This window comes from Homo sapiens, chromosome 2 (genome assembly GCF_000001405.40).
Source record: "Homo sapiens chromosome 2, GRCh38.p14 Primary Assembly".
Taxonomy (NCBI): Eukaryota; Metazoa; Chordata; class Mammalia; order Primates; family Hominidae; genus Homo; species Homo sapiens.
In genome coordinates, this window is record NC_000002.12 from 227605485 (window position 1) to 227633320 (window position 27836).

The 27836-nt window shown below is 43.5% G+C and overlaps 2 protein-coding genes, 1 long non-coding RNA gene and 2 pseudogenes across 6 annotated transcripts, besides 1 other annotated feature; 2 read left to right on the forward strand and 3 right to left on the reverse strand.

The window, feature by feature from the left end:
• Positions 2536-2736: a silencer, noted in NCBI's record as "peak4071 fragment used in MPRA reporter construct". NCBI's record gives its function as "represses an SCP1 promoter by STARR-seq MPRAs in K562 erythroleukemia cells {active_cell/tissue: K562}" and the evidence as "EXISTENCE:reporter gene assay evidence [ECO:0000049][PMID:32103011]".
• On the forward strand, positions 3300-3617 carry SCYGR10 (small cysteine and glycine repeat containing 10 (gene/pseudogene); annotated as a pseudogene). Its single transcript, NR_173327.1, has one exon. The product of NR_173327.1 is annotated as a small cysteine and glycine repeat containing 10 (gene/pseudogene), transcript variant 1, non-coding (transcript).
• A 988-nt stretch (positions 3618-4605) lies between these two features.
• SLC19A4P (solute carrier family 19 member 4, pseudogene) lies at positions 4606-27836 on the reverse strand (annotated as a pseudogene). 2 transcript variants are annotated; one of them, NR_172911.1, is made up of 4 exons: positions 27485-27836; positions 22955-23027; positions 7456-7550; positions 4606-6172 (listed from the first exon to the last, which is right to left on the reverse strand). The product of NR_172911.1 is annotated as a solute carrier family 19 member 4, pseudogene, transcript variant 2 (transcript). The 2 variants fall into 2 exon arrangements; NR_172912.1 differs by lacking the exon at positions 7456-7550.
• Positions 9054-9356, reverse strand: SCYGR3 (small cysteine and glycine repeat containing 3). The gene has a single exon (NM_001395404.1). The coding sequence runs from the start codon at positions 9354-9356 to the stop codon at positions 9054-9056; it is 303 nt and encodes a 100-aa protein (NP_001382333.1).
• LOC729968 (spore coat protein SP96) lies at positions 11507-13171 on the reverse strand. Its single transcript, NR_149019.1, has 2 exons — positions 11994-13171; positions 11507-11740 (listed from the first exon to the last, which is right to left on the reverse strand). It is a non-coding gene; the product is annotated as a spore coat protein SP96 (long non-coding RNA).
• On the forward strand, positions 12014-12331 carry SCYGR4 (small cysteine and glycine repeat containing 4). The gene has a single exon (NM_001395405.1). The coding sequence runs from the start codon at positions 12014-12016 to the stop codon at positions 12329-12331; it is 318 nt and encodes a 105-aa protein (NP_001382334.1).

Here is a 27836-nt window from a genome sequence, read left to right on the forward strand (position 1 = left end):
GACTTGATTTATTTTTCCCCACACATCTAAGAAAGTCATTCGGTAGGGTTCTTGTTGCAGGTGCTTTTATTGGAATCTCTTTTCATGCATTTCTTATCAGACCGGGAGCTTGTGGATTCATCTTGTTAAGTCCTCACAGTGTGCCCTGCGGAGCCACTTTCTCCTAAGAGGAGGACAATCCAACAACTGTTTGTTAAATTGACTACACTGCTCCCTGCAAGTTTATATGATGGGAAAGTATTACGGTGCATCAAAGTAGAGGTTCATGGGCCTCTTTAAGTAAAAACAGACAAATCCTGGAGATTAGAACGTTGGAAAGAAATGTATACCAGGTGAAGGCATGGAAGAAATGCTTGTTTAATGTGTATTTTACAATATGGTTATTGAAGCAATTTAACTGTTCTGTCTTTAATCTGGAATATTGGAAAAAATTACCAAACATTGGCAGGAAATTATTACATTCCAAAATTTGAGGGAAAAATATGAACCAAAAACTAACTATTTTACACAGGGGCTCATCCTTGAAACGTGGTACCTGAAGCCAACTAAGTATAGGCAGGACTTAGAGGGCTGTACAACAGAACCACAGTATTGAACCACTTCATTATCTTTCTGGATTGAAAAGTAGTACGCAGTTGCACTCTCGAAAAAGTAATCTTTAAGACTTCTTGTACAGTAACTAAAAATTAATCTGAAGAAAGGCCAGTGTTAAAGATCTAGCTCATATGGCTGAGTGCGGTGGCTCATGCCTGTAATCCTAGCACTCTGGGAGGCTGAGGTGGGCGGATTGTCTAAGCTCAGGAGTTCAAGACCAGCCTGGGCAACACGCTGAAACCCCATCTCTACTAAAGTACAAAAAATTAGCCAGGTGTGGTGGCACGTGCCTGTATTCCCAGCTACCTGGGAGGCTGAGGCATGAGAATTGCTTGAACATGAGAGGCAGAGATTGCAGTGAGCCAAGATCACACCACTGCACTCCAGCCCCAGTGACAGAGCAAGACTCCAACTTAAAAAAAAAGAAAAGATCCAGATCATATTATTCCAGGGTATTATTATTCAGAGTTCTCCTGAGAAACGGAACCAGTAGGAAACATGAATAGATAAATGAGATTTATTATGGGAATTGGCTCATGTGATTATGGATGCCAAGAAGTCCCATGATCTGCTCTCTGCCAGGAAAGCCAGTGGTGCAATTCAGTCCAAATCAGAAGGGCTGAGAACAAGGGCAGCCAATGCTGTAAGTCCCAATCAGAGTCCAATTGAAACTCAAGAACCAGGGTGCTGATGTCTGAGAGCAGGAGATGGATGTTCTAGCTTAAGAGGAGGGAGAGAGAATTCCCCTCACTCTATCTTTTGTTCTATTTGGGCCCTTAATGGACTGGATGATGCCTTAGTCCATTTTTTTTGTTGCTATAACAGAATACCTGAGACTGGGTAATTTATAAAGAACAGAAATTTATTCTCTTACAGTTTGGCTGGGAAGTCCAAGATTAAAGCACTGGCATCTGGTGAGGCCTTTCTGCAGCTTCGCATGATAGAAGGCAAAAGGGCAAGAGAGAGATAAACTATGTGTCCTCTCTTGGCAGAAGAGCAGAAGAGGGTGAACTCACTCTCACAGGCCCCCCTTTTTTTTTCTTTTTGAGATGGAGTCTGGCTCTGTCACCCAGGCTGGAGTGTGATCTGGGCTCACTGCAACCTCCAACTCCCAGGTTCAAGTGATTCTCCTGACTCAGCCTCCTGAGTAGCTATTACAGGCACCCACCACCATGCCTGGCTAATTTTTGTACTGTTAGTAGAGATGGGGGTTTCACCATGTTGGCCAGGCTGGTCTCGAACTCCTGACCTAAAGTGATCCACCCACCTTGGCCTCCCAAAGTGTTAGGATTACAGGCATGAGCCACCACACACGGCCTCACAGGCCTCTGTTTATAGTGGTATTAGTTCCTTCATGAGGGCAGAGTCCTCACGATCTAAACACCTCCCATTAGGCCCCACCTTCCAACACTATTGCATTGGAATTATTTCCAACACGTGACTTTTGGGGAGCACGTTCAGACCATAGCAATGCCCACGGTGAAGGTGATCTTCTTTACTCAGTCCACTGATTCAAATGCTAATATCTTTTAGAAATACCCTAACAGACATATCCAGAAATAATGTTTACCAGCTATCTGGACATCTCTTAACCCAGTCAGGTTGACACATAAAATTTACCATCATGCAGGGGAATCAGAGTTCCTCCAACTCTGGGGCCTGCGGGGACCTGAGAGGACTCTTGGGTTCTCCTTGTCTTGTGCTCCTTGGCATGGCCTGGGGTGAGTGATAAGAGCACTATATTCTGAGAACAGATACGCAGGGCTAGAACCTGTAGATTTCATTGATGGCCTTCACTATTCTATTTTTCATTTTCATTTTTCCTTTGACAGGAAAGAGTAGTCTGCATAGGGATGGCCAATTGGAACTAATCATTTCAAGTCAGCATTCCATGGGGGACTGGTCCAGGATCAACCAGGCTCCAGGGGACTGCCAGAAACATGCCTTCAGCATTATCCTCCTTTCTTAACAGGCTGATGATAACAGAAGCCTCTTTGAGTTTGGAAAGTGACTTGGAAACGTTCTGCTCAGGATATGCTTTTATCATCTGCACAACACGAAGGATGCCCTGTCATAACCCTTGATAATGCAGGATCCCCTCTTCTCTGAATCAGAGAGTCCTGACTCATGTTACAGGGCTAGCAAATGGCCGAGGAGCTCTGCCTGGGGAAGACAAAATAACATAACCTGAGACCACTCTTTCCTTTTCCATATTCAAAGTGCTCTCCTCCATCTAAAGGGATGTTTTGCAAATTAATAAATAGTTACAAATAACGTAGGAATGAAAAAATCTTTGTCCTGGGCTGATACAATGGAGATATGTACAATAGCTAAGGGAAATTGTAACCCCACTCTGACTTTTCCAATCACCAAAAAAAAAAAAAAAAAAAAAAAAGGGAGTTGTTAGATGTTTACTATTCTATATTATAGATGGCTTTAAAAAAACAAGTGAAAGCTAAATTTAGCAAATTTTTGAAGTCAGAAGGACCCATTAAGGAAGTGTACAAAAGGCCATGTGAGATTCTGCTTTGGATATTTGCCAAAGGGAAGTGGCAACAACAGAGAAGTGGCATTGAGTCTTAGGTCAATATTCTCCCCCAGAGTTAGTATATAAGCTCCACCCCCAGCAGAAAGAGGCATCGTATCTCCCTCACCTCTCCTGAGTCCTCTCTTCTCACTTCACCTGAGATTTCTCTACTGACGCCATGGGTTGCTGTGGTTGTGGTGGCTGCGGTGGCCGCTGCAGTGGTGGCTGTGGTGGTGGCTGTGGTGGTGGCTGCGGTGGTGGCTGCGGTGGTGGCTGTGGTGGCTGTGGTGGTGGCTGTGGCAGCTACACCACCTGCAGGTAGTACCGGGTGGGCTGCTGCTCCAGCTGCTGCCCCTGCTGCCGCGGCTGCTGTGGGGGCTGCTGCAGCACACCTGTGATCTGCTGCTGCCGCCGCACCTGCCGCTCATGTGGCTGCGGCTGTGGGAAGAGCTGTTGCCAGCAGAAGTGCTGCTGCCAGAAGCAATGCTGCTGTTAGGTGGGCTGGCCTGGCCTCCGTCCTGTGGCAGGATATGCTGGGGACTTTCCTTCACCCCATTCACCTGCCTTACCCATCCTCTGGGTATCCTAGCACTTATGCTCTTGGACTGTAACTTTGCTCCTGTATTCTGGGTTCGTGTATTTTCTGCTTTGGGTGTTTCCAGTCTGCCTACGTGAAAAGTTTCCTCTCTAATATCAAGCAGCCAAAACAAAGACACAAGGACAACCTACCTCTTCAGGAAGAGTCCACATCACTGAGCTCAATCAAAGAGGATCATGATTCCCAACAGACTTTTTGATGTATATGATCATTTCATTTCCATTAGTGTGCTTTTCTCTGCTCCTTTTCTATCTTGTATTCCTATTTGTCAATAGCTACTTTCTAAATTTCCTAATAAAATAAAAATATATTATTAAAAGTTTATCTTTGCATTTTTTTTTTGGTTTGAACATATCTCACATTCTAGAAAATCTTAATCTCTCTTAGAAAGCCTTTGGTGGATGCGCAGTGATCGTGGAGCAAGTTAAAGACCCTGAGAGTAGCTTCCTGCCTCTGTTGTTTGTGCCCTCTAGTTACCAAACAGAATACTTGAATGTCCAGCTTCTCTCTACAGTTCGTATTCAATTTTGAGATGTGAGGTTCCTTTAAAAATAGACAAGCTGGGCCAGGCGCAGTGGCTCACATCTGTAATCCTAGCACTTTGGGAGGTCGAGGCGGGCAGATCACCTGAGGTTGGGAGTTCAAGACCAGCCTGGCCAACATGGCAAAACCCCATCTCTACTAAAAATACAAAAAAATTAGCCGGGCGTGGTGGCGCACACCTGTAATCCCAGCTACTCAGGAGGCTGAGGCAGGAGAATCGCTTGAACTCTGGAGACAGAGGTTGTAGTGAGCCGAGATTGTGCTACTGCACTCCAGCCTGGGCCACAGAGCGAGACTCTGTAAAAAAAAAAAAAAAAAAAAAAAAAAAGACAAGCTTCCTGAATGCATTCAAAATCCTGTTTTATTTACAAAGAACTAATTCAAACAAATTCTCAGAAACACACCTATTTTCAAAATGCAGGTGATTACATTTGCTTTAGTTTTCCATCTGCTGGGGCCATTTACTCCTTGCCTGGAGGGCAGAGTCCCATCCTTTCTTAGAAGCCTAATTTTTACCACCCCCCACCACACCATAAGTTCAGCCAACAGTGCACATTTAGAACTGTGGTATTATCGATTTCACTTTCACATTTCCCCAACCACAGAATTAATGCCATCAGGTTGTACTGAATGTGTAGGCATTGATGAACATTGGATTTGGGATTTATCTTAGCCCTCCTGGATTTCTTGTATCCACCTTCGGCTCCACTTCTTATTTTCAAGTCAATTGCTATTTGCTTTTCTGTCTAAATTAATTTAACTGTGATTGGAGTATTGTTAAGGCTTATGGTTTCTTTCTAATTCATTTCAGATATTACTTAATAACAAACTGTGATTTAAGTTTTTGTTCATTTCTTCTATTTTTTTTTTTGAATTCATAAGCCTAAGGGGCCTTGAGATTAGAATAATCTAATCTGTGTCCTTTTGCCAGGCGAGTGAGTCCATTTCTGATAGAAAAACCATTTTTGTGTGTATAGGATCTATGGTGTTTTTTATATCTAGAGAGAAACGTAGATAATAATTAGATAATCCTCAATAATCATATTCACTTGGAAGGTATAAATTGAAAGGCAAATGATGTTTTATGACTCAGACTATGAGTAGTCTATAAAAGCATTAACAATTTTTAGAAGAGACTTCTTTCTGTCGACCAATGCTCATCAAGAGACTCCTAGATATAGGCTGGGCCTGGTGGCTCACACCTGTAATCCCAGCACTTTGGGAGGCTGAGGCGGGCGGATCACTTGAAGTCAAGAGTTTGAGACCAGCCTGGCCAACATGGTGAAACCTCATCTCTACTAAAAATATAAAAATTGGCCAGTCATGGTGGCACGTGCCTTTAATCCCAGCTACTTGGGAGGCTGAGGCACAAGAATCACTTGAACCCAGGAGGTGGAGGTTGCAGTGAGCTGAGATCACGCCGCTGCAGTCCAGCCTGGGCAATGGAGCGAGACTCTGTCTCAAAAAAATAAAATAAAATAAAGAAACTCCTAGATATAAAGGCAGGTTTAAGGGGGTAAGACCAGTTCAGAGATGGAGCAAGTCCTGCTGTGGACTGTCTTTGGGATGGGATGCATTGTGCACAAAGAATTATAATCCTAGGCAAAGAGTGGTATTTGCCATGGTATCCCTGTCAGAGGTGGGAAGCTAGTTCCCCTGAAACCATCTAGAATGGCTCCAGAGCACCGAATCTTGTGGCTTCTTGTTCTCTGTGGACTTTTCATTACATGCTCCCTCCCTCACACTTGGTCTGTTTAGGGCAGTGCTGGAGAGAGTTTCGGCTGAAGCCTCTGCAGTTGGATGGCAGAGGCCATGGCCCGCAGGGTGAATGAAGGTCAGCCCGCATGTCTGTACGGTAAGTTTCCTCATCCCTGGGTCCCAAGGCTCTAGTTTCTCAGATGGACTTAATACTGAAAAAAGAAAAAAAGATAGTCAGAATTTAAAGAAGATATTTCTGTAGTTCGATTGTGCCCAACAAATTGTTTTCATTTTTCAATCTGCTAGTATTCTCACTTGCTTTGCAAATCCCTATAAGCCCTGCCTATAAATTCCCCTACAGTAGGGGATAGTTGACTACATTTGTGCTAATTATTCAGACAGCCTAAAGCAAGACTCCAACTCACAATTGGATTACAGGGAGGTACCTACAGCCACTCCTCTGCGGGGGTGAGATGCAGACAGGTGCCCCCAGTGCACTGCATTGTAAGTTTTGCGCATCTCTCCCAGGTGAGCCCCAGCGTGGTATGTTTAGCCCCTGCCACAGGTTCACCTCCCTGTCCTCCCCTGACTGAGACCCAGTAACATTCAGATGCACTGATGGACACCCCTGCACCTCTTGCTCATATATTCCACCCTGACACCCGTGAGCAAGCCTATGGGTCCTTTCTCCCTGTCTGCCTGGCTGAGACCACTCCCCCGGTGCTGCCTCCCATGTGACCCCCTCTTGGCATGCAGTGACTCCATCTCTTTAGGACCTGTGATGGGAATACACTGTTTTCCTGAACCTATCCTTTGTCTCTTCTTTTTATTTATTTATTTATTTAATTTTTGAGATAAAGTCTCACTCTGTTGCCCAGTGGCACGATCTTGGCTCACTGCAACCTCCACCTCACGGGTTCAAGTAATTCTCTGTCTCAGCTTCCCGAGTAGTTGGGACTACAGGCACATGCCACTGTGCCCAGCTAATTTTTGTATATATATTTTTAGTAGAGTTGGGGTTTCACCATATTGGTCAGGCTGGTCTTGAACTACTGACCTCAGGTGATCCAACCACCTCGGCCTCACAAAGTGCTACGATTACAAGCATGAGCCACCGTGCCCAGCCGCCTTTGCCTCTTCTTGTGGCCGCGCCTGACAGACCATCTGACTATCTCATAATATATGTACATATATACACACACAACACAAACCCCATACCAGGCCACCTGGGTTCTTTTTTCACAAATCTATGTCAACATGAGTATTGAGACCCAGCAAATCCTGGCAGACAGCCACATCTTCTATTTACGCTGACTGGAAACAAACTCACATTTTCAGCGAGTGGGACAGGAGGAGCAAGTGCCTAAGAAGTGTTGGGTCTTGGTGGCTGGAAAAACCACATGTCCCAGAATTCTGCCCATTAGGTTGGTCAACATTACTGGGAAAAGCGACTTGAGGGGTCCTCCCTCAGTGGGGAAAAGCGGATGCCACTTGCCTTAGCGTAAGATGGATGAACTGGCACTTCTCTCCTGACCCCGCTCTTCCAGCTGAGAACCATCACAAGGGAGGGGGCAGTTCTACAGGTGAAGCCTGGGAGGGAAGAATGAGTGAGAGGGTGGAGCCCCAGAGGTAATTCCTAAAGGCTGAGAGTAAGTAAGGGCCTTTGGGTAGCCTGAGGGTATTAGAGGCTCAGGGCTGTTGGAGCTGGAAAGGGAATAGAGACAGAGCCAGATGAGTGCCCAAAACCACCTTGTCAACTTAGACTTCAGAGGGCTCATCTCGCACCTGCCTCCAAACCCTCTCTTCTGAATTTCAAGGTGGAAGGAAAACTGTCTTTCTGTGACAGCATCTTCCCCTCTTTGGAAATCTTATTTGACATGGTTATTTGACTCATGTTCCCTTTGGTTATAACATTCATTTGGTCAGTTCAACCTGTTTAAGCTTCTGTCCAGAGCCAAACTGTGCTTAGAGTAACAAGGACACACCCTAAGTGGTCCTCGTGGGGCTGGTGCAAGAACCAGCTTCTCCGGGAGACACACCCAAGGAGCTTGGCTTCCCTCAGCCCCCGCCCCACTGCTCACCCAAGCTGGGATTCCCCGCTCTCTGCCTTGTTTCCTTCTCACTTTGCTGCTAAACTAGCCACAATAAATCAAGAATCTGAAGTCTGCAAAGAAAAGGATCAGGGAATCTCTATGAAAAATTAGCAAAATGGGTGTTTGGGGACATTTTTTATTGTGCATGGGGACACTCTCAGTAGGGTGTATCATTATTTTGATTCTAATGCTGATAGTCTCACATTACAACTGAAAGCTAATTTTGTAGTTTGAAGTGGTTGATACCACAGACTTCCATGATACCTAACATGGCTAAGAGCCAAATTTCATCATTGCCCAAAAGTGGTCAGGCTCCTGAATGATCATATGACCATTTGGAGTCTGAACAGGTATTTATGAGTCCAGACTTCTGTTTCTAAGACTCTATCAAGAGAGAGATTTGGGGAAAGTTTTGGTTTATGATAATGAAGTATCAGGCTGAGTATGTGCCCCCCAAGTCCCTTCCTTCTTTACAAACCCACAGTGAATTAATCATCCACGAATCTATGTGTCTAGTGTAAAGAATTCATCTAGTTTTTTATTCTTTGATTTATCTTTTGGGATAAAACTCATTTTTCCCCATGGACAGACAGTTTAGAGACTGGAAAGAACAAAAGAGATAGCTCTTTGAGAATGATTTAGTATAATTTATTAAGATAAGTGTTGCTTTGTGTATACAAATATACCCAGGCAGCGGTAAAAACAGCACAGAAATGAAGGCAACCTTAGAGGCATTTCAAGGTCTAACTATCTTCACTCCATTTTGTTGAGGTCATGACTTGAGTTGTAATCAACATAGAAGGCTGCATGGTTGTTATTTTTGTTGGTGATGATGATTAAATGCAGGCAGAATCACAAAAAAACTATAGAAATGTGAAATACTCACGGGCAGGTGACAGGTTCAGGTCATGCTTGTGTCCTATTAGTCAGTGGCAGCCAGAAGGGGAAAGCTTACCTACAGCAGTTACCTGCAGCAGCTGCCAGAGGCTGAGGGCCCTACCTAACAGCAGCATTGCTTCTGGCAGCAGCACTTCTGCTGGCAACAGCCCTTCCTACAGCCACAGCCACATGAGCGGCAGGTGCGGCGGCAGCAGCAGATCACAGGTGTGCTGCAACAGCCTCCACAGCAGCCGCGGCAGCAGGGGCAGCAGCTGGAGCAGCAGCCCACCCGGTAGCACCTGCAGGTGGTGCAGCTGCCACAGACACCACCACAGCCACCACCGCAGCCACCACCGCAGCCACCACCGCAGCCACCACAGCCACCACCACAGCCACCACAACTTCCACAACCACAGCAGCCCATGGTGTCAGTAGAGAGGATGCGGATGAAGTGAAGAAGGAGGACTCAGGAGAGGTGAGGAGGTCTGATGCCTCCTTCTCCTGGGGGAGGCCCTTATATACCAACTCTGGAGACAGGAGAGGGAAGGCACATGACCACTTCCTTGTTGTCATTTGACTTGATGTACATGGAAGAATCCCTCCATCTCATATTGACTTTCCTTTCAGACATCTTTGTCTTCACTACATTTTTGGTTTTGTTTATTTTTTTCATAAAACTATATGCCAGTATAAGTTAAAAAGGCCTAAAAGTTCTAGGGAAGCATTCTGGGAGCTGACGTGTGGTGAGGCTGTCCTTAGTAATGACAGCCTTCTCCTTCTTCCTAAGATGCCCTGGGAATACGCGCCATGTGCATAGGTCCATGAGTTGTTAGCAGGGCTTACAAACCCCACACAGCACCAGGCAGTCCCTGCACTGAACAATCTGAGAGCTTCTCAGCGATAGGTACAGTGATATTGAAGGCACAGTCCCTGACTTCAAAGGGCTTGCAATAGTAAGTAACAACGCAAGCTGGGAGGTGTAAATGGCCACAGATTCAAAGGTCACTGCCAAAGTCAGATGCCATCATCCCATTTATTGACCAGTGAAGGCACTGGGGCTGCTCCCTCCCTCCTCATTTGAAGCACATCATTGTGATTTGTCTTCTGCACACCAGGTCTTAATGATTATTTCAAAAGCAGAAATCAATCCTCTTAGGAGTCTGCATTTTGGTGATGTAATTCTTGGTCTGGTTCACTGTAAACTCCACCTCCCGGTTTTAAGCGATTCTCCTGCCTCAGCCTCCCGAGTAGCTGGGATTACAGGCATGTGCCACCATGCCTGGCTGATTTTTGTATTTTTAGTAGAGACAGAGTTTCACCATGTTGGCCAGGCTGGTCTCGAACTCCTGAGTTCAAGCAATCCTCCTGCCTTGGCCTCCCAAAGTGCTGGGATTACAGGCACGAGGCACTGCGCCCGGCCAGGAATTCATTTTTGTCCTTGATTAGGTGATGTCAATTGATGGCTGAGAGAAAAAAGTCTGTGCTAAATAGCCTGGCCTGGGCTCCCTAGAGAGCAGGCTCTTGGGCTATTGGGAGAGCGCAGGGTGGGAACATCGAGGGACACATGGTCCAGAGGTCAGAGAAGCTTGCTGAGCTGAATGAAGGCCCAGCATGGGGAGGAAAGGAGTTTATGGCTCCAAGGAGAAGCCTGTGGCTGTGGATCATGGTGGAGTGTGAGAATTTGTGACCAACAAGAAGCCTGTAAAAAAGGCAAGAAAAATATGAGTGCAAGCAGGGTCTTCTCCATGCATGCTGAGGTAGAGGCTTCTGGCGATCAGTCAGTGCTCAGCAGACAGCAGTCAGCATCTCTGCTGCAGACGAGATCATCCTCCAACTCATTTTGTAACAGGCTCGCTGCCCAAAGCCTGTTTTCCCAACTTGGTAAAATTGTTCTTCAGAAATTTGAGCAAGAGAAAGTGCTGCCACGTCCCTGTGGCTGATTAGAGTTGTTTATTAATGACCTCAAGCTGTCTCTGTGGTATATGGACTAAACAGAGCATTTTCAACTTGTCAGGGAGTTGCTTGAACTGGGGTCGCGGGGACAGTGGAGCTAGAGAGACGTGAATAGGTTTGAAGTTATTAACGAGGCAGAAGCAACAGAATTTGGTGAAAGACTAGAAATGGAACTAAGAGAAAAGAAAGATTCAAAGATAATTTTTAACATGGATTCATATCTTGATGGATACGGAGCAGTGGAGGGAACACACAGTTTTATTTTGGTGGCTAGTTGGTGATCAGGCAGGGAGAATTATGACTTGAGTCTGGAGCATGTGACATTGGAGGTGTCCCTGAAACTCCAAGGGGAGAAGGTGGAATGGAGAGTGGCTATTGATGGATTTTGTAGTCCGCAGGAGAGTCTGAGCTGGAGGCACCCCATGGAGAAACTAACCAGGGAATACGCATATGGAAATCTACACATGGGTGTGAATGTCAGCACTCTGGGAGGCAGGACGGAGTGAGAAGGGAAGGGAGTGTTGCTTCAAGCCTTATCATAGACAATTGTGAGCGGAAACAAAACAGAAAAAAGAGTCATTTACTATAAAGATCCCTTCAGAAATATAGTTGGCAAGTGAGCATTTTTGCAAAAATGACATGTTTTATTTGGATGCTCTTATTTACTCTTTTGCATCTCGGGAATTTCCATGAAAGCAGGGTGATTTCCTGGAGAGAAGCCATGGCAGAGAGATGGAAAAGCAGCTGGCAGCCACCTTGGGTTCCGGCTTAACCCGAAGTCTCAAGGATTCAAGTGGTTTCTGAGTAAATGAAGATCCTCTCCTACATGTTAGCATCTCTTGGCTTGCTTTTAATCTGGTTTTAACAGAGACAAGTGAAAATTAGCAAATGTTTTGGGTCAAATATAGTCCATAAGGATGTAAACAAGGAATAGTCCTAGATAACCTTATCATGGAAACTGCAGTAGCAACAACAAGGAAGTGACCACTGGTCATGTGTCCTGGGTCACTCCCTCTTCCTTTCCCCAAGATGGTACATAAGGGTGTCCCCCAGCAGAAGGAGGCATCAGACCTCCTCACCTCTCCTGAGTCCTCTCTGCTCACTTCACCTGAGTCCTCTACTGACACCATGGGTTGCTGTGGTTGTGGAAGTTGTGGTGGCTGTGGTGGCCGCTGCGGTGGTGGCTGTGGTGGTGGCTGCAGTGGTGGCTGCGGTGGTGGCTGCGGTGGTGGCTGTGGTGGTGGCTGTGGCAGCTGCACCACCTGCAGGTGCTACCGGGTGGGCTGCTGCTCCAGCTGCTGCCCCTGCTGCCGCGGCTGCTGTGGAGGCTGCTGCAGCACTCCCGTGATCTGCTGCTGCCGCCGCACCTGCGGCTCGTGTGGCTGTGGCTATGGGAAGGGCTGTTGCCAACAGAAATGCTGCTGCCAGAAGCAATGCTGCTGCTAGGCGGGCCCCCGGCCTCTGGGCAGGGGCTGCAGGTATCTGCCCTGTAGGTAAGACTCCCATCCTTCCCATCCTGTCTGGTCTCCCCCTCCTCTGTGGTCTTGAACTCTGTTGCTGTTTTTCTTTGGTGTTTCATGTCTTTCCGTCTGAAAAGCTTCCAAACTAATAGGAACGATCTCATGGAAAAATATGAGAACAGCACAGCAGCTGTGAAACTGTCCAGGTCACTGACCTCAGGGAAATGAAATCACAACTCCTCGTGTTTGGTCTGATGGACATGCTCATGGCTATGCAGCTCCGTCTTAGTTCCACTTTTCCCATCGGCATGCGATGCTTCTTTTGTTTCTTTGCTTTTGTGTTCTTAGTTATCACATAACATTGTCCAAATTTCCTAACAAAATAAACTAAGTGCCCATAAAAACTTCTCTTTTTGCCTTTCTTCCACTTGATCACACTGAATTCTGGTTTGTCTGTTCAGAAACTGGAGAGATGTTTTATCTTTTTTATCTTGGAACAAAGCCTTTGAAACACTTGTGCCCTGGCTCATCCCTGTAATCCCATCACTTTAGGAGGCCAAGGCAGGAGAGTCCAGGAGTTCAAGACCAACCTGGGCAACATGGTGAGTTCCCCCGTCTCTACAAAAAATACAAAAATTAGCCAGGTGTGGTGGTGCGTGCCTGTAGTCTCAGCTACTCGGGAGGCTGGGGCAGGAGGATCACTTGAGCCTAGGAGGTTGAGGCTGCAGTGAGCCGAGATCATGCCACTGCACTACAGTCTGGGGGACCCAGCAAGACCCTGACACACACACACACACACACACACACACACACACACTAAACAATAACCAAAAAAAAAAAAAAAGGAAAAAGATGAAAAACACTTGCTATGGCAGCAATGCAGCAAAGGATCATGTAAGAAGCTGTGGCCGGGCCTCTGGGGACCAGCCTTGCTCAGTGACACATTATGTTGCCTCAGAACAAGCCTGCAGTGTGTCTTCCTCCCTGGAGATCCAGGGTCCCTGTTTTTGTTTTTGTTTTTTTTTGAGATAGAGTCTCACTCTGCTCCTCAGGCTGGAGTGTAGTGGCGTGATCTCGGCTCACTGCAACCTCTGCCTCCCGGGTTCAAGTGATTATCCTGCCTCAGCCTCCTGAGTAGCTGGGACTATAGGCATGAGCCACCACGCCCAGCTGATTTTTGTATTTTTAGTACAGACAAGGTTTCGCCATGCTGGCCAGACTGGTCTCGAACTACTGACCTCAAGTGATCCACCCGCCTCAGCCTCCCAAGGTGCTGGGATTATAGGCATGAGCCACAGGACCCGGCCTGGGGCCCCTGTTTTATTGATGTAAGACGACACAGCCCTTCAGTGATAGACCCACATGCCAAGCTCAGGTGTTGCAATCAAGAACAAATATGGAATTTAATGGTGGGGTAAGCTCAGCTGGGTTTCGCTGGGTTTCGTTCATTCATATGTTTCATATTCTTCTTTCTTCTTCCTCCCTTTCTCCTGTGTGTGAGGTTTTCTTCTTTTCCTTTTTTTCCATACACTGCAACATTTCGTGGAAGACATTTGAAACCTTTTATTTATTTATTTATTTTGAGACAGAGTCTTGCTTTGTCGCTCAGGCTGGAGTGCAATGGCGTGATCTTGGCTCACTGCAACCTCCGCCTCCCAGGGTCAAGCGATTCTCCTGCCTCAGCCTCCTGAGTAGCTGGGATTAGAGGCGCCTGCCCCCGTACCTGGCTAATATTTGTTGAAACATTTTAAAACCAAATACATTCGATTGTGGAAAAATTCTCCCAGTGACACCGTCTTCTTTACTACCTTTAGTAAAAGCAAGAAATGAAATCAGGGCCTAATAAAAGAAAGCCGGTGGGAAGGGGGTTTTCAAACTTCTTTGAAGGAGGAAGTCTTTTTTTCAGTGCTTCAATTTAACGAAGAGCATGTTGCTCTTTCCTTTCCCTTCCTTTTTTCTTGTTGATTATTTTCTCTAGCTTCCACACTTTTTCTGACTGTTGAGATTCTATGGTTCTGTTTGCTGAAGAGACTTCAGGCTAAGGAGATTTGGGATCAAGATGGTTTCATGTGTTCACACATTGATGCGGCCTCTGCTCAAAACAGGAAAAAGAAAGTTTGTTTTTGTGTTATATACACAGGATAGATATGTGTATATAACATATAAAAATAAAATAACAACATAGCTGAACTCAAAAACAAGACATCTATCTCTGTGGATCACAGACTGAAAATATAAAATGCAGGGCTGGAGCTGTGGGCTTGCTGGGTTCTGGGTCACAGGCATGACGTGCGTAGGATACAAGAGAGGCCAAATACCTCATGAGAGTGGGGGATCAGAGCCAGTCTCACTTTTGAAGATAGGTGTCAGAGTGGGGCCACCTTCGTCTTGGAATAAACCTGCTGTCCTTGCTGCCCCAGGCTGTGGATTCTGAACTGCTAACCCCTTATACCAGGTGTCCCCAAACACCAGGCCACGGACCAGGACTCACAGCAGGAGGTGAGCGGTGGGCAAGTGAGCGAAGCTTCATCTGTATTTACACCTCTCCCCATCGTTCACATTACCATCACATTACCACCCAAGCTCCGCCTCCTGTCAGATCAGCAGCCACAGCATTAGCTTCTCATAGGAGCACAAACCCTATTGTGAACTCCGCATGTGAGGGATCTAGGTTGTACATACCTTATGAGAATCCAATGCCTGTTGATCGGTCACTGTCTCTCATCACCCCCAGATGGGACCATCTATTTGCAGGAAAACAAGCTCAGGGCTCCCACTGATTCTACATTATGGTGAGTTGTACAATTATTTCATGATATATTACATTGTAATAATAATAGAAATAAAATGCACAATAAGGGTAATGTGCTTGAATCATCCTGAAACCATCTCCCCACTTCCCATGGAAAAACTGTCTTCCACAAAACCAGTCCCTGATGCCAAAAAGTTGGGGACCACTGCCTTAGAGAGACTGGAGGATACAGACACAGTCTTTTTTTTTTTTTGAGACAGAGTCTCACTCTGTCACCCAGGCTGGAGTGCAGTGGTGGGATCTCAGCTCACTGCAACCTCCGCTTCTCGAATTCAAGCGATTCTCCTGTCTCAGCCTCCTGAGTAGCTGGGATTACAGGTGCCTGCCACCACACCTGACTAATTTTTTCTTCTTCTTATTTTTAGTAGAGACGGGGTTTCACCATGTTGGACAGGCTGGTCTCGAACTCCTGATCTCTGGTCATCTGCCTGCCTCGGCCTCCCAAAGTGTTGGAATTACAAACATGAGCCAACACGCCCAGCCCAGACACAGTCTTAGGCTACAGATTGACCTAAATCCTCTGCAGGCTTGAGAATAATCTATTATTATCCCCATTAGCACTACGGGATGGGGCCTGGGGATGGGACAGGAAAAGACAACTGCAAAACTGCTAGACAGGTAGAGGCAAGTGGTGCTGGGTCAGGGTGTGTGTGTGATTGGGATGAGGAGAGAAAGTGAGAGCAATGGAAACAAAAACACCTTGCACTGAAAATTATGACACTGACGGACTTCATCTGCCTCACATGGCTTCCTGAGCCCGGCTTCTTGATCATGATGAATCTCAGGCTTCTGATGCCCCTTGCTGCCTGCCTATAAGTAATCAACCTGCTTCATGTCATTCATTGTGTGTGTGGGTGTGAGCCTCCCTGGACTCAGAAAAATTGGTAATCAGTGCACAGTGAATTTGCTCCCCAAAACTGACACAGCAGGCGGGGTCCAGTCTGACAGAATCATGGCTTATTGGTGAAGCAGGGGGCAAAACCCCCTAGTACCTGGTTGAAGGTGGAGACGTCAGCCTGGGGGCACAAGAGCTAGATGGTACTGCTGGACATGTTATGGGTCAGGAGGGGTTATATGTGGGACTCCTGGATGTGAGTGAGCTGGACATGGACTGAGGCTGCCAGGAAGGCACGTGGAAACGAGATTGTGGCGCATGGCCCTGAATGTTGGGCACTGATGTGATCCTTCATTCCTGGGGCTGCAGAGCTCAGGAAGAGAATGCTCAGATGGACCCTGAGGCACCTGAGAAGGATGTGGTCCTGAGGCATCTGAGCAGGAACCAACCATGCAATGCAGGCTGCCACAGAAGAGGAGACTCTCTAGCTAAAGGACAGGTATGGAGATGGTTCAGAGATGGCTTATGCAGCCTGGTTGATGTGTTTGTTTGATAAAAGGACATTGCAGACCCAATGTCTCAGGCTAAATGGTGTGGTTAGATTGAGGCCAAGGTCTCTGGGTCTCCACTGGAGGTCAACGGCGCTATACTCCAGTCCATACAGAAAGGGAAAGAAGGGGAATTCAGACTTTTCTGGGGTTCTTGGATATTGGAATCCATATGGCAATATTTCCAGGTCCCCTTAGGGGAATAATTAGCCTGGTGACATTGGGATGTTTGAGGACAAACATGGTGACCTGTGGTGCTTATCTGCTTCCAGGTGGGGCCCTCAGGCCATTCTGGGTGCTGGTGACCATGGTTCCTACCACTTCATGTATTACAAGCACTAACATAGGCTGCTTGTGGCACAGACCATCACTGTGGCCTGAGGGGGTACAGCCCCCTACAGCTAAGAATTTGAGCTGTAATAGTGGAACATATCCACTGCTGCTGGCTACCTGAGCTCCCAAGCCTGATGGGTTATTCAACAAATTAGTGCTACAAACTAAGTGAAAGAAAGTACATTACTTGTTTAAATCTACATCAGGCAGGGTTCAACCTGAGATGCAGAACAAATAGGAGATATAAATTAAGAAACTAATTTAAAAAAGTTGGCTCCCATGGTGATGGAGGCTGGTAAGGCAGTCCAAAATTCACAGGACAGGCCATCAGAATGGGTGGGCTAGGACTCACAGGCACAGGCTGAAGCCCCTGAACACAGACCAAATCTCCCTTTTCAGAGGAACTTCAGCACTGCTGGTAAGGCCTTTCCCCTGATTGAATCAGGTCTACCCAGATTATTGAATCAGATCCTCTAGGACTGTATTTAAAATCAACTGATTATGGACTTTAATCACATCTGTAAAACACTAGCATGACCGAGGTTAGTGCTCTTAGATGGTCCCACTCTTTTGGTTTCCATGTTGTTTTGGGGGTAGACTTGAATGTGTTGAAACTGTATTTTGGGTTTCATTTGCTCACTGAGGTCATGTAGATGGTTTGTTTCAATCTGTTCCATTAAATAATTTGATTGTGCCCAGTTCACTGGCTGATGGGTGTGGTTTCAATGGGGCTCATGATGGCCCAGTCTTTCATGGCACCCAGTTTCATCAATTATCAATTCATGGCCAATCTAGTTTCATCAATGACCCAACCATTTACCCTTTCCCCCCATGGGTTAATTTGAATCCTGTATCATATAATTTAATAATATTTATTAATTTAATATTTAATATTTAATAAACATTTCAGTTTGTATTTTTAAAAATAAGGACCCAGAATGTAGAAATAAAGATTCAGAAAGACTGTATTACAAGGTAAGAAGAGATGCAAATTTAAATATGATCATCATGGCAGGCCTCATTGAAAAGGAGACATTTGAACAAAGACTTAAAGGAAGTGAGTCACAGAGCAATATCTGGGTGAAAGAGCATTCCAGGGAAAGGAAGCTAAAGTCCAAAGATGGTTTCTGAAATATTTAAAGACTCTCAAGGAGCCCAGTGTAGCTGAACTGAGTGAGAGGAAGAATAGTAGAAAATGAGACCAGACAGGTAAAGGAGAGGGCAGGAATATCAGGTGGGGTTTGCAGGTTATCCTCAGGCCTGTGGTTTTTTTACTGTGTATGAACTGAAAAGCCATTGGAGAGTTCAGAGCAGAAAAGTGACATGATCTCATGTATATTGTATGAAGAGCTCTGACTGCTATTTTGAGGCTAGGTTGAGGAGGGCAAAGGATTAAAGCAGAGATGAGTTAGAAGGTCTTGCAATAATCCATGTAGAAGAGATAGTGACAACTCAGAACAGAGTGGTAGCCATGGAGGTGATGAGAAGCAACTATCTCCTAGAATTACTTTGAAAATAAAGAATACTTTTTGACACATTATATCTGAGATGAGAGAGAACAGGAGGAGTCAAGGAGTCAAGTGAACAGGAGGACTTCAAGATTTTGGGCCTAAGCAACTTGAAAGATGGGGAAAAACTGTAGATAGCACCGTTTTGAGCAAGATGACGATTCCATCTGGAGCATGCTGAATTGCAGGTGTCTACTAGACATCCCAATGGAAATGCTGAGTAGTAGGCAGCTGGACACAGTGGTCTGAAGTTCAGGGGGAGAAGTCAAGGTCTGAGCTATCATTTTTTTGGTGTCATCGGTATACAAATATAGAGATTGCATGAAACCATCAAAGACTATATAGAGAAAAGAATTTGTAAGCACTTAACCTTAGGAGCTCCAGGGTTAAAAGCCTCTGAAAAAAGAGGAGAGGCCAGCAAAGGAGACGGAAAGGAGCATCTAGTGAAGAAAGAGTAAAATTAAAAATGCATGGTGCCCTGGAAGCGAGTATGGAACTGTTTCAAGGAGGAGAGAGTGATAATGGTGACAATGCTACCAAAGGATGAAGTGAGATGCGTGAAGTGAGGTGAGCACTGATGAATGACTGCTGGATCGACATCGGTGATCTGGACAGGAATGGTTTTGGCGAAGTATTGAAGATGAAAGATGGATATCAATGGGTTTAAGAAAAAGTGTGAAGAGAGGAATTAGAGCGACAGGAAGTAGACAACACTTCCATAAATTTTTGCCTTAAAGGGAAGCAAAGAAATGACTTAATTTCACAAATATAATGTTAAGCAAAACAATCTATGTAAGAATGCCCAACTATATTCATATAAAATATTTTTATGTATGTGTATGGGTATAAACACATATACATATACACACATTTTAGAGACAGGGTCTTGCTCTGTTGCCCAGGCTGCGTGAACCCTATAGTGAATTGTGCGTGTGAGGGATCTAGGTTGCACACTCCTTATGACAACCATAGCTCATTGCAGCCTTGAACTCCTAGGCTCAAGTGATCCTCCTGTCTCAGCCTCCCAACTAGCTAGGACTATAGTGGTGGTGATGAAGTGGTCTTCCCTAGGTACAGGCAGTAAGGAGGAGAATTACCTGTAGAGAATTTAAAAGCAATAGTAAAACTGATGAAGGGCCTGTCTGCATTTTATTGTTGCCATGTACCAGCAATTCTAAATAATGATGGTGATAAAGTATGCTCCCCACCAGGTGGGCTGCTACCCCTCCCGGCTTGGCATGCCACCCTGGCAGTGTCTAATTAATAACTTTTACCTTCTCTAGAACAGTACAAAAATCTTTGGTTTTGAACATTCTTCTAATTTCTAATTTATTATTGTCCAGGATGTTAGTCTTATGTTTTTCAAAACTCTTCAAGATATAAAACGTTACTACTGTTTGACATGGCCAGTGTTGAGATTTACTCACGTGTTTTCTGTTTCACACTCCCTCTTGCATCATATGCCTTCCTTTTGGGGTAATTTTCCTTCTTTCTTGAATGCATCCTTTAGAAATTGCTTTTGGAAGGGTCTGTTACACTCTTACAAAGCGAGTGTGCCTCACTCACTCCATTTCTCTTTGTCTGAAAATGTCTTTATTTTATTCTCATTTTTTGAAATGTTTTTCTCTTTGTATACAACCCTAAGCTGGCAATTATTTTCCCCAGCACTTTAAAGGCATTATTCCACGATCTTTCTGGCTTCCCTTGTGTGCCATTGAGAAGTCATTTGTCAATCTAATTATCATTTTTCTGTAGGTGATGCTCTTTTTATTTTTCTGACTGTTTATAAGATTTCTTTTTCTTTGGTATTCTGCAGTTTCACTACGGTGTGTTTAGACTTGAATTTCTTTTCATTTACTCTTTTGGAGAGCTGTTAGGCTTCCTAAATCTAATTCATGCCTTTCATCTCATCTGCAAAATTCTCCATGGATATTTCTTTGTCTGTCTCTCACTTCTATCTTATTATCTCCCCAAGGAACGTCAAATAGACATTCGTGAAACTTTCTCACTCTAACCTCCATGTGTGTTAATTTTTTCCACTTTCATCTCTGTGCTATATTCTAAATGAGTTCTTACAGTTTAATATTTTCTTCTTTATTGCTCTTAACTTCTACATAGCTCTTAACTTGTTTATTAAGCTTCTATTCTTGACTACAGTAATGCATCCTTAATAACAGGGATATTTCTTGAGAAATGCATTGCCAGGTGATTTTGTCATTGTGCAAACATCATATGGTATACTTATACAAACCTAGATGGCATAGCATACTACATACTTAGGCTAAATGGCATAGCCTATTGTTCCTAGGCTGTAAACTTGTACAGCATGTTACTGTACTGAATGCTGTAGACAATTGTAACACAATGGTAAGCATTTGTGTATCTAAACGTATTTACACATAGAAAAGATACAGTAAAAATACACATAAGAGATAAAACATGGTACACCCATATAGGGCACTTACATGAGTGGAGCTTCAGGGCTGGAAGTTGCTCTTTCAGGGTCTTGATCCATCACCCAGGCTGGAGTGCAGTGGTGCGATCTCGACTCACTGCAACCTCCACCTCCCAGGTTCAAGTGATTCTCCTGCCTCAGCCTCTGAGTAGCTGGGATTACAGGCACCTGCCACCATGGCCGGCTAAGTTTTGTATTATTTTTTTTTAGTAGTGACAGGGTTTCACCACATTGGCCATGCTGGTCTCAAACTCCTGACCTCCGGTGATCTGCCCGCCTCGGCCTCCCAAAGTGTTGGGTTTACAGGCGTGAGCCACCGCACCTGGCCATTTATTATAATTATCAAGTATTATATACTGTACGTAATTGCATGTGCTAGACTTTTATAAGACTGGCAGTGCAGTAGGTTTGTTTACACCGGCATCACCACAAACTCATGAGTAATGCTTTGTGATACAACATCACGATGGCTATGATGTCACTGGGTGGTAGGGATTTTTCAGTTCCACTACAATCTTATGGGACCACTGTCCTATATGCCAGGGGTTCTCAACCTCCAGTCCAAGGGCCTGTACCAGGGTCCATGGCCTGTTAGGAACCAAGCCACCACCAGGAGGTGAGTGGCAGGTGTGCAAGAGAAGCTTCATCTGTATTTACAGCCACTCCCCATTGCTCACATTACTGCCTGAGCTCTGCTTCCTGTCAGATTAGTGATGGCATGAAATTCTCATAGGAGCGGGAACCCTATTGTGAACTGTGCATGCGAGGGATCTAGGTTGTGCACTCCTTATGAGAATCTAATGCCTTATGATCTGTCACTGTCTCCCAGGAAAACAAACTCAGGGCTCCCACCGATTCTACATTATGGTGAGTTGTATAATTACTTCATTATATATTACAATGCAATAATAATAGAAATAAAATGTACAAAAATATAATGCACTTGAAACCATCCTGAAACCATCCCCCTGCCCTGGTTTGTGGAAAAATTGTCTTCCACAAAACCAGTCCCTGGTGTCAAAAAGGGTGGGGACTGCTGATACACATGGTCCATCATTAACCGAAACATAGTTATGCTTCCCATGACTGTAGTTCTATTTTTTCCCCAAATTCATGATTATTTTGTTCTATTCTTATGATGTTCTATTTATGTACCTTGTTCTATTCTTATGATGTTATTTTCCTCCATGTGTAAACATATTAAACATTTTATTTTATATTCTAATACTGATAATTCTTCTACGTCAAATCTTTGTTAGTCTGATTTCGCTATTTATTACTTCAGTTGGCTTGTTCATGAAACTTTATATCCTTGTTTGATTCTGAATTTTTAAAAATCATAATCTCCTATTCGATGGAATTTTATTTGTGGCAATATTTTGATTCCTGTATTGAGGTACATTCTTTCAGAAACCATTTGCCTTTGTTACATATAGGTGCCTGGAGACACTGCCAATCAGGACCACTTTAAACTAAATTTTCAGCTTGAAAAAAAAAGTTTAGCCTATAGGAATAGGACTCCAGAATTACGTAAGTGCTGGTTTATAAAGGCAAATGCTGAGGGTATATTCTCCAGACTCCACCCAGATTAGTCTTCTTCATTAGGGATTTTCCCCCTGTCATTTTGTATTTTGTTCTGATTCACCATTCACTGAGGATGTGGCCCTTTGGGGTTGTCACTAAAACCAAAACTCTAGGTTCTGGGGGAACCAGCAGATGCCTTGAGCACACCGCAGAGTCAATGCTTCCTTAGCTATCTGGCTTCCTGTTCTTGCTTTGGCATCTGAGGATTTTTCTTACTTTCTTACCAGTTTAGCCGTTTATTTTTTTTTAATTAAATTTATATCCACGAAATCCAAGGGTTTTGTGGTGTAAAGATTTTTCTGATATCCAGTCTGTTGTTGCCTAATGAAAGTAAGCCTTTCTTACTTTAATATTTTTTAAAAAGTCTGTTGCCTTTAATAAATAAGCTTTTCTTAATAAAAAAATTTAAAAACATTTACTGAAATTTGTTTAAATTTCAAACAACCCTAAAGTCCCCATCTTAGTCCATTTTCTGTTGACTGAGAATACCTGAGACTAAAACATTTGTTTAAAAAAGAAGCTTATTTAGCTCACAGTTCTGGAAGCTGGGAGGTCCAAGATCAGGTGGCAGCATCTGGCTGGCTTTTGGCGAGGGCTTTGCTTTGTGCTGTCATAACATGGTGGAGAAGGAAGGGGAAGCGCATGTTTAGAGACCAAACATGAGAGGCAGCCTTGCTTATAACAATTCACTCGAGTGGTAACTAATCCATTCCCAAGCAGGCAAGAGCTTACTTTCAGGAGAAAGGCATCGATCCCTCTTGAATGACCTAATCACCTCTTAAAGACACCAATTCTCAACACTGCCACATTAGGGACCAAGCCTCAGCACGAGATTTGGTGTCGTATTCCAGCCATGGCACCCCTTTCTCCTTTAAGCTCAACCCCTCAATCCCATTCCTCCTAAGGTAATTGCATGGAGACCATCTCCATTAGGATAGAAAAGTAAGAAAACAAGGCAACGTCTAAATGATCAGGACCCAAACTCACTCAAAATCCTTTTAAGGAGTTTATTTTGTTTGATAATGAAAATGTGGGCCACGTACGATGGCTCATGCCTATAATTGGAGCACTTTGGGAGGCCGAGGTGGGTGTATCACCTGAGGTCAGGAGTTCGAGACCAGCCTGGCCAACATGGCGAAACCCTGCCTCTACTAAAAATACAAAAATTAGCCGGGTGTGGTTGCATGTGCCTGTAATCCCAGCTACTCGGGAGGTGGAGGTGGCAGTGAGCCGAGATTGCACTCCAGCCTAGGCGACAAAGCAAGACTGTTTCAAAAAAGAAAAGAAAAGAAAAGAAAGAAAATCTGGCCTTTGACTTCAGCTGTCCTTTGAGTTAAGACACCAAAAAATAGTTTATGAAATAGTGGAACCTAAGCCTGATGGACCACACACAACCTGCATTTGAGTCCATGAATATGAAGTGAGAACACTCATCTGGGCTATCTGGAATGTCAAATAGCACATACTCCACACACACTGAAAAATATCCATTTTGATGTATGTGAGCCTATTCCAAATCCAGACGAATCCCCATTTCATGCACTTAAAATAATATCATCACTGTGTTTGACGTTTCGGGAGGTAATCTTTCTACGCAGAGTGCCCCTCTCCTTACTAATCCCTTTGGGGTTACAACTAAAATTCCATTTTCATGATTCTAACTTTTATTTAATTAAAGGTAGATTAAAGTACCAGTTATCCTAGCTGGTTAATCTAATGGAGGGTGCAATCAGAGGCCATCAGCTGGTCCCAGAGTGGCTGAGTGCAACGGCTGCTGGCTGTGAGCACTGGGCAGGGTCACTGCGTTATTTCCCAGTGAGGAAAATGAAGGCAGAGGAGCACAGCAGCTGCGGTTTCTGTGATATCAAAGGGGCACTTGGCGCCACTGGACTTTCCCTTTTCTTTTTTGTGTGTACTCCCCAAACTTGGTGATAAGAGTTGCTTTTCATGTCTTAAGCCTCAAGACCATCCAGGGAGGAGGAGGGTGAAGGCAAAGAAATTAGTGAATGACGGAGGAGTCTTACTGTCAACTCCCTTGATCAAGAAGAAATGGGCACTTACTCAGTCTGTTTCTCATTCCAAAAGTTATCGCTGCAAATTGGGGGGTGAAAGTGGGGAAGTGGGGGGCGATGAGAGGGATGAAGAGGTCTGGTAACAGGTAACCAAGAGGTGGGTGTTCTGGTGCAAAACTTGTGGGGTGTTATTACTTCATTTACCTAATTAAAGGCTTATTTTAAAAAATTAACCTTATTTGAGATGTTGTATGGTTATTTACCCACCCCCTCCAAATCCCTCTTATATTCAAACTTGTGAATTTCATCTATTTTTGGAAACAAGATTCTGCCAGAAAATCATTTTATATCATTAGTCAACCACAGTACAGTCTTGTGCCTTCAGTAAAGACAATTATATCTACCACTCTCTCCATAACCGGCTTGGTGATTATTACTAAATTACTCTTCAGCTTTTTCTAGTTGAGATAAAAATGCTTCTTTTAGCTTTCCTCATGGGCCTCTTCCCCTAATCTTTCAGTCATCTTCAAAGATGTGTCTTGAAGCCCCTTTTTAAGATCTTCATAAATCCATTAAGACCTTTGAAACTCCATAAATAGCTTATGTTGTGACAGCAGTTTGAGAGATGCTGGGAAAATGAAGGAATCGCTTCTGGAAGTCTCGATGCATCCTACTCTTTGCTGAATCTCTGTGTCAGAGAAAAATCCTGATTCAGTTTGTATTTTCTACTTTTTAGATTCCAATTTTTAAAAATGGCATTTGGCATCCTATTAGTGGAATATCATGAGTGCAGACAGAGTCAATGATGAATGGACATTTATGATTGAGATTTGGGAGTTACTAATCAATGCACTTCCATATTACTGGCTCTTAAAAACTTAATGAAAGCATATTTAATTAGATTCCTACCAAAAATCAATTTTTAAGAAGCACAGTTTTCAAGACCAGCCATTCATAATAACACCTTTTTTTCTTTGTATATAGGAATAGGGTTTGTCTTCTGTTATGCCTTTGAGCTGTATGTTTTTGCTCATCCTGCTCTGTACCTGGGTAAACTGGTCTCTTCTTTAGCAATTAAACTTTAAAATAGCTTTCCATGGAAGAACCGAATTGAAAGTTGTTCCAGCATTGAGGATGTCAGCAGAGACTAGCAGAGAAGATACGGTAGCAATACAAAGATTTTAAAGGAGTGACTTAAATCTATTCCTCTTGGTCAAGAAGGTAAAAGGATTCGGAAACATTGAAGTATCAGGGGATACAAAAGGTAAAGCTTGAATTTTTCTGCCAAATTTTAGATTTGTTTTCAGCTTTTCATGCCTGTGTGACCCCCTGCCTTTTGAAGAAAGAGCAAAAGGTGTTGATCTGCCAACAAAGAAGACACTGAAATTTTAAATTAGGTTACACAAAATAGTGGCAGAAAGGAGAATAGAAGGATTAATGGCTCGTTTTTATTTCTAGTCCTATTTTACCTAATTCAGTTATAGGAATTCATTCATTTCAACTTAGGATATAATGGATTTGTCGAAAAGTAAGGGAAATATCTGGAGCTGATTAATGTAAAAGTCTTTAGAAAAGGTAAGTGCCTCCTAACCATGTTGATTAATGTAAATAGATGTTATTTTTTTCAATTAGGAAAAGAGAGAGAGATGTTTGTTTATTGACAACACTAAAGGCCAGGAATAGTGTGGTTTAGAGGCCAGCACTTAACCTGTGTAAGAACTCATGCAGTAAGTCTTATATTCTCCATTTTACTCATAAGAAAATTGAGACATTAAGAACATATTACATCTTTAGGGTTTACTTTAAAATAATTTAGAAGCAGGGGTGAGAAATTTCATTGGGAGTGGAGTACAGATGAAACAAGATTGGCCACAAATTGATATTTGTTAAAGTTTGTTTCATTATACTATTTTTTCAAAATGTTGTATGTATTTGAAGTTTTCCAAAATGAAAAAATTTTAACATGTCACTATAAACATCAAGATTCAAAACCAGATTTTGCTGATTTCAAGCTTGTTCTCTCGCTAACAGATGATACACAGAATAATTTCTGAAAAACTGAAGAGCAATTTGCCAACCAGATAGTAAATTAGGAATTTACATTTTATTTTAGAAAGTAATGCTTACACGTCGAATAGCCTCAAACAAGCATATTATATTGAACAAGTGTGTAGTACTGAATCTACATGAATCTTAGTGTTAAGATTTATTAAATGGAAGCAATCCTTTCCTCTGTTGAACAAGTGCGACTACAAAGTAGATTTTTAAAAAATGTCCTGGCATTACTTCATTTAATTTTGTATTCTGAAATGATTTCTTTTTGCCTTTTTGCTTTTAAACAAGATAGCTTCTAAATATTTTGTAGGAATTCTCATCTATTTATAGAGAGGTAAGAATGACGATTTTGTCCATGAGACAGAGTAGATTTACAGAATTTGGGAACTAAGCTTTAATAAGATTGAACTTTAGCTAGGGCAAGGAAAAACCTTTAGCTGTAGCTAATGAGAACCACTTCCACTGGAATGACTTTATGGCTTTAATTTTATGCAGTTCTTTCATTCCTTCACCTCTTTAGTGAAAAGGTCACCTGTTTAATGAAAAGGTTTCTTAAGAAATAGAACCTTAACTACACCATATTTCTATTTCTCAGTATAAAATTATTCTATTGAAGACATCATGCTAAAGGAAAGAAACTAGAAATAAAAGGCTATATAAAAAATAATTCCATTGATATGGCATTCTATAATGACAAACTGTATGGATAGAAAACCAATCAGTTGTTGCCAGGGACGAGGGGTGGGGAGAGGGGATTGGTGGCAGAGAAACACAAGAGCACTGTTTGGGTTGATGTTTATCTTCATTGTGGTGGTAGTCACACAGCTGTACATTTGCCCTAATTCATAGAACTGTACATACAAAGTGTGAACTTACTGCACGTATATTATTTATCAATAACTCTGATTTTTAAAAGTATAAAGATAAATAGATATAGATATATAGTTTTGAAAACATGCCTCTTTGTCCATGAGAGCACAGTGGCCCATGCACTTACCTGAATGTCAACAGGAAGCCCCAGTCCTTGGTTGTCAACCACAGTCATCGTCACGATGGGTTGAATCATCAAGGCAATGAAGGGATTAATTCCAAACGTCAGGGCATAGTCTTCCATGCTCAGATTAACTCCAATCTGAAATCTGTCATTGTACAAATGGAAAGAGTTTTAAAAGGACACACACATGCGCATTCAAATACAAAACAGCGAATTGTGTTCTTCTCAAGGCTTTGGTCTGCTGAGGAAGCCCAGGTTTCTATTGACAGTTTCTTTCTGAAAGCTCTTTTAGCAGAGATAGACTGAAGAAATAGACAAATGGGATGGTGCAATGTATTTTAACATTCCGTGGGAT

Coding starts and splice junctions, on each gene's coding strand:
- SCYGR3 (NM_001395404.1), bottom strand. CDS start 9,356: ATGGGCTGCTGTGGTTGTGGAAGTTGTGGTGGCTGTGGTGGTGGCTGT.
- SCYGR4 (NM_001395405.1), top strand. CDS start 12,014: ATGGGTTGCTGTGGTTGTGGAAGTTGTGGTGGCTGTGGTGGCCGCTGC.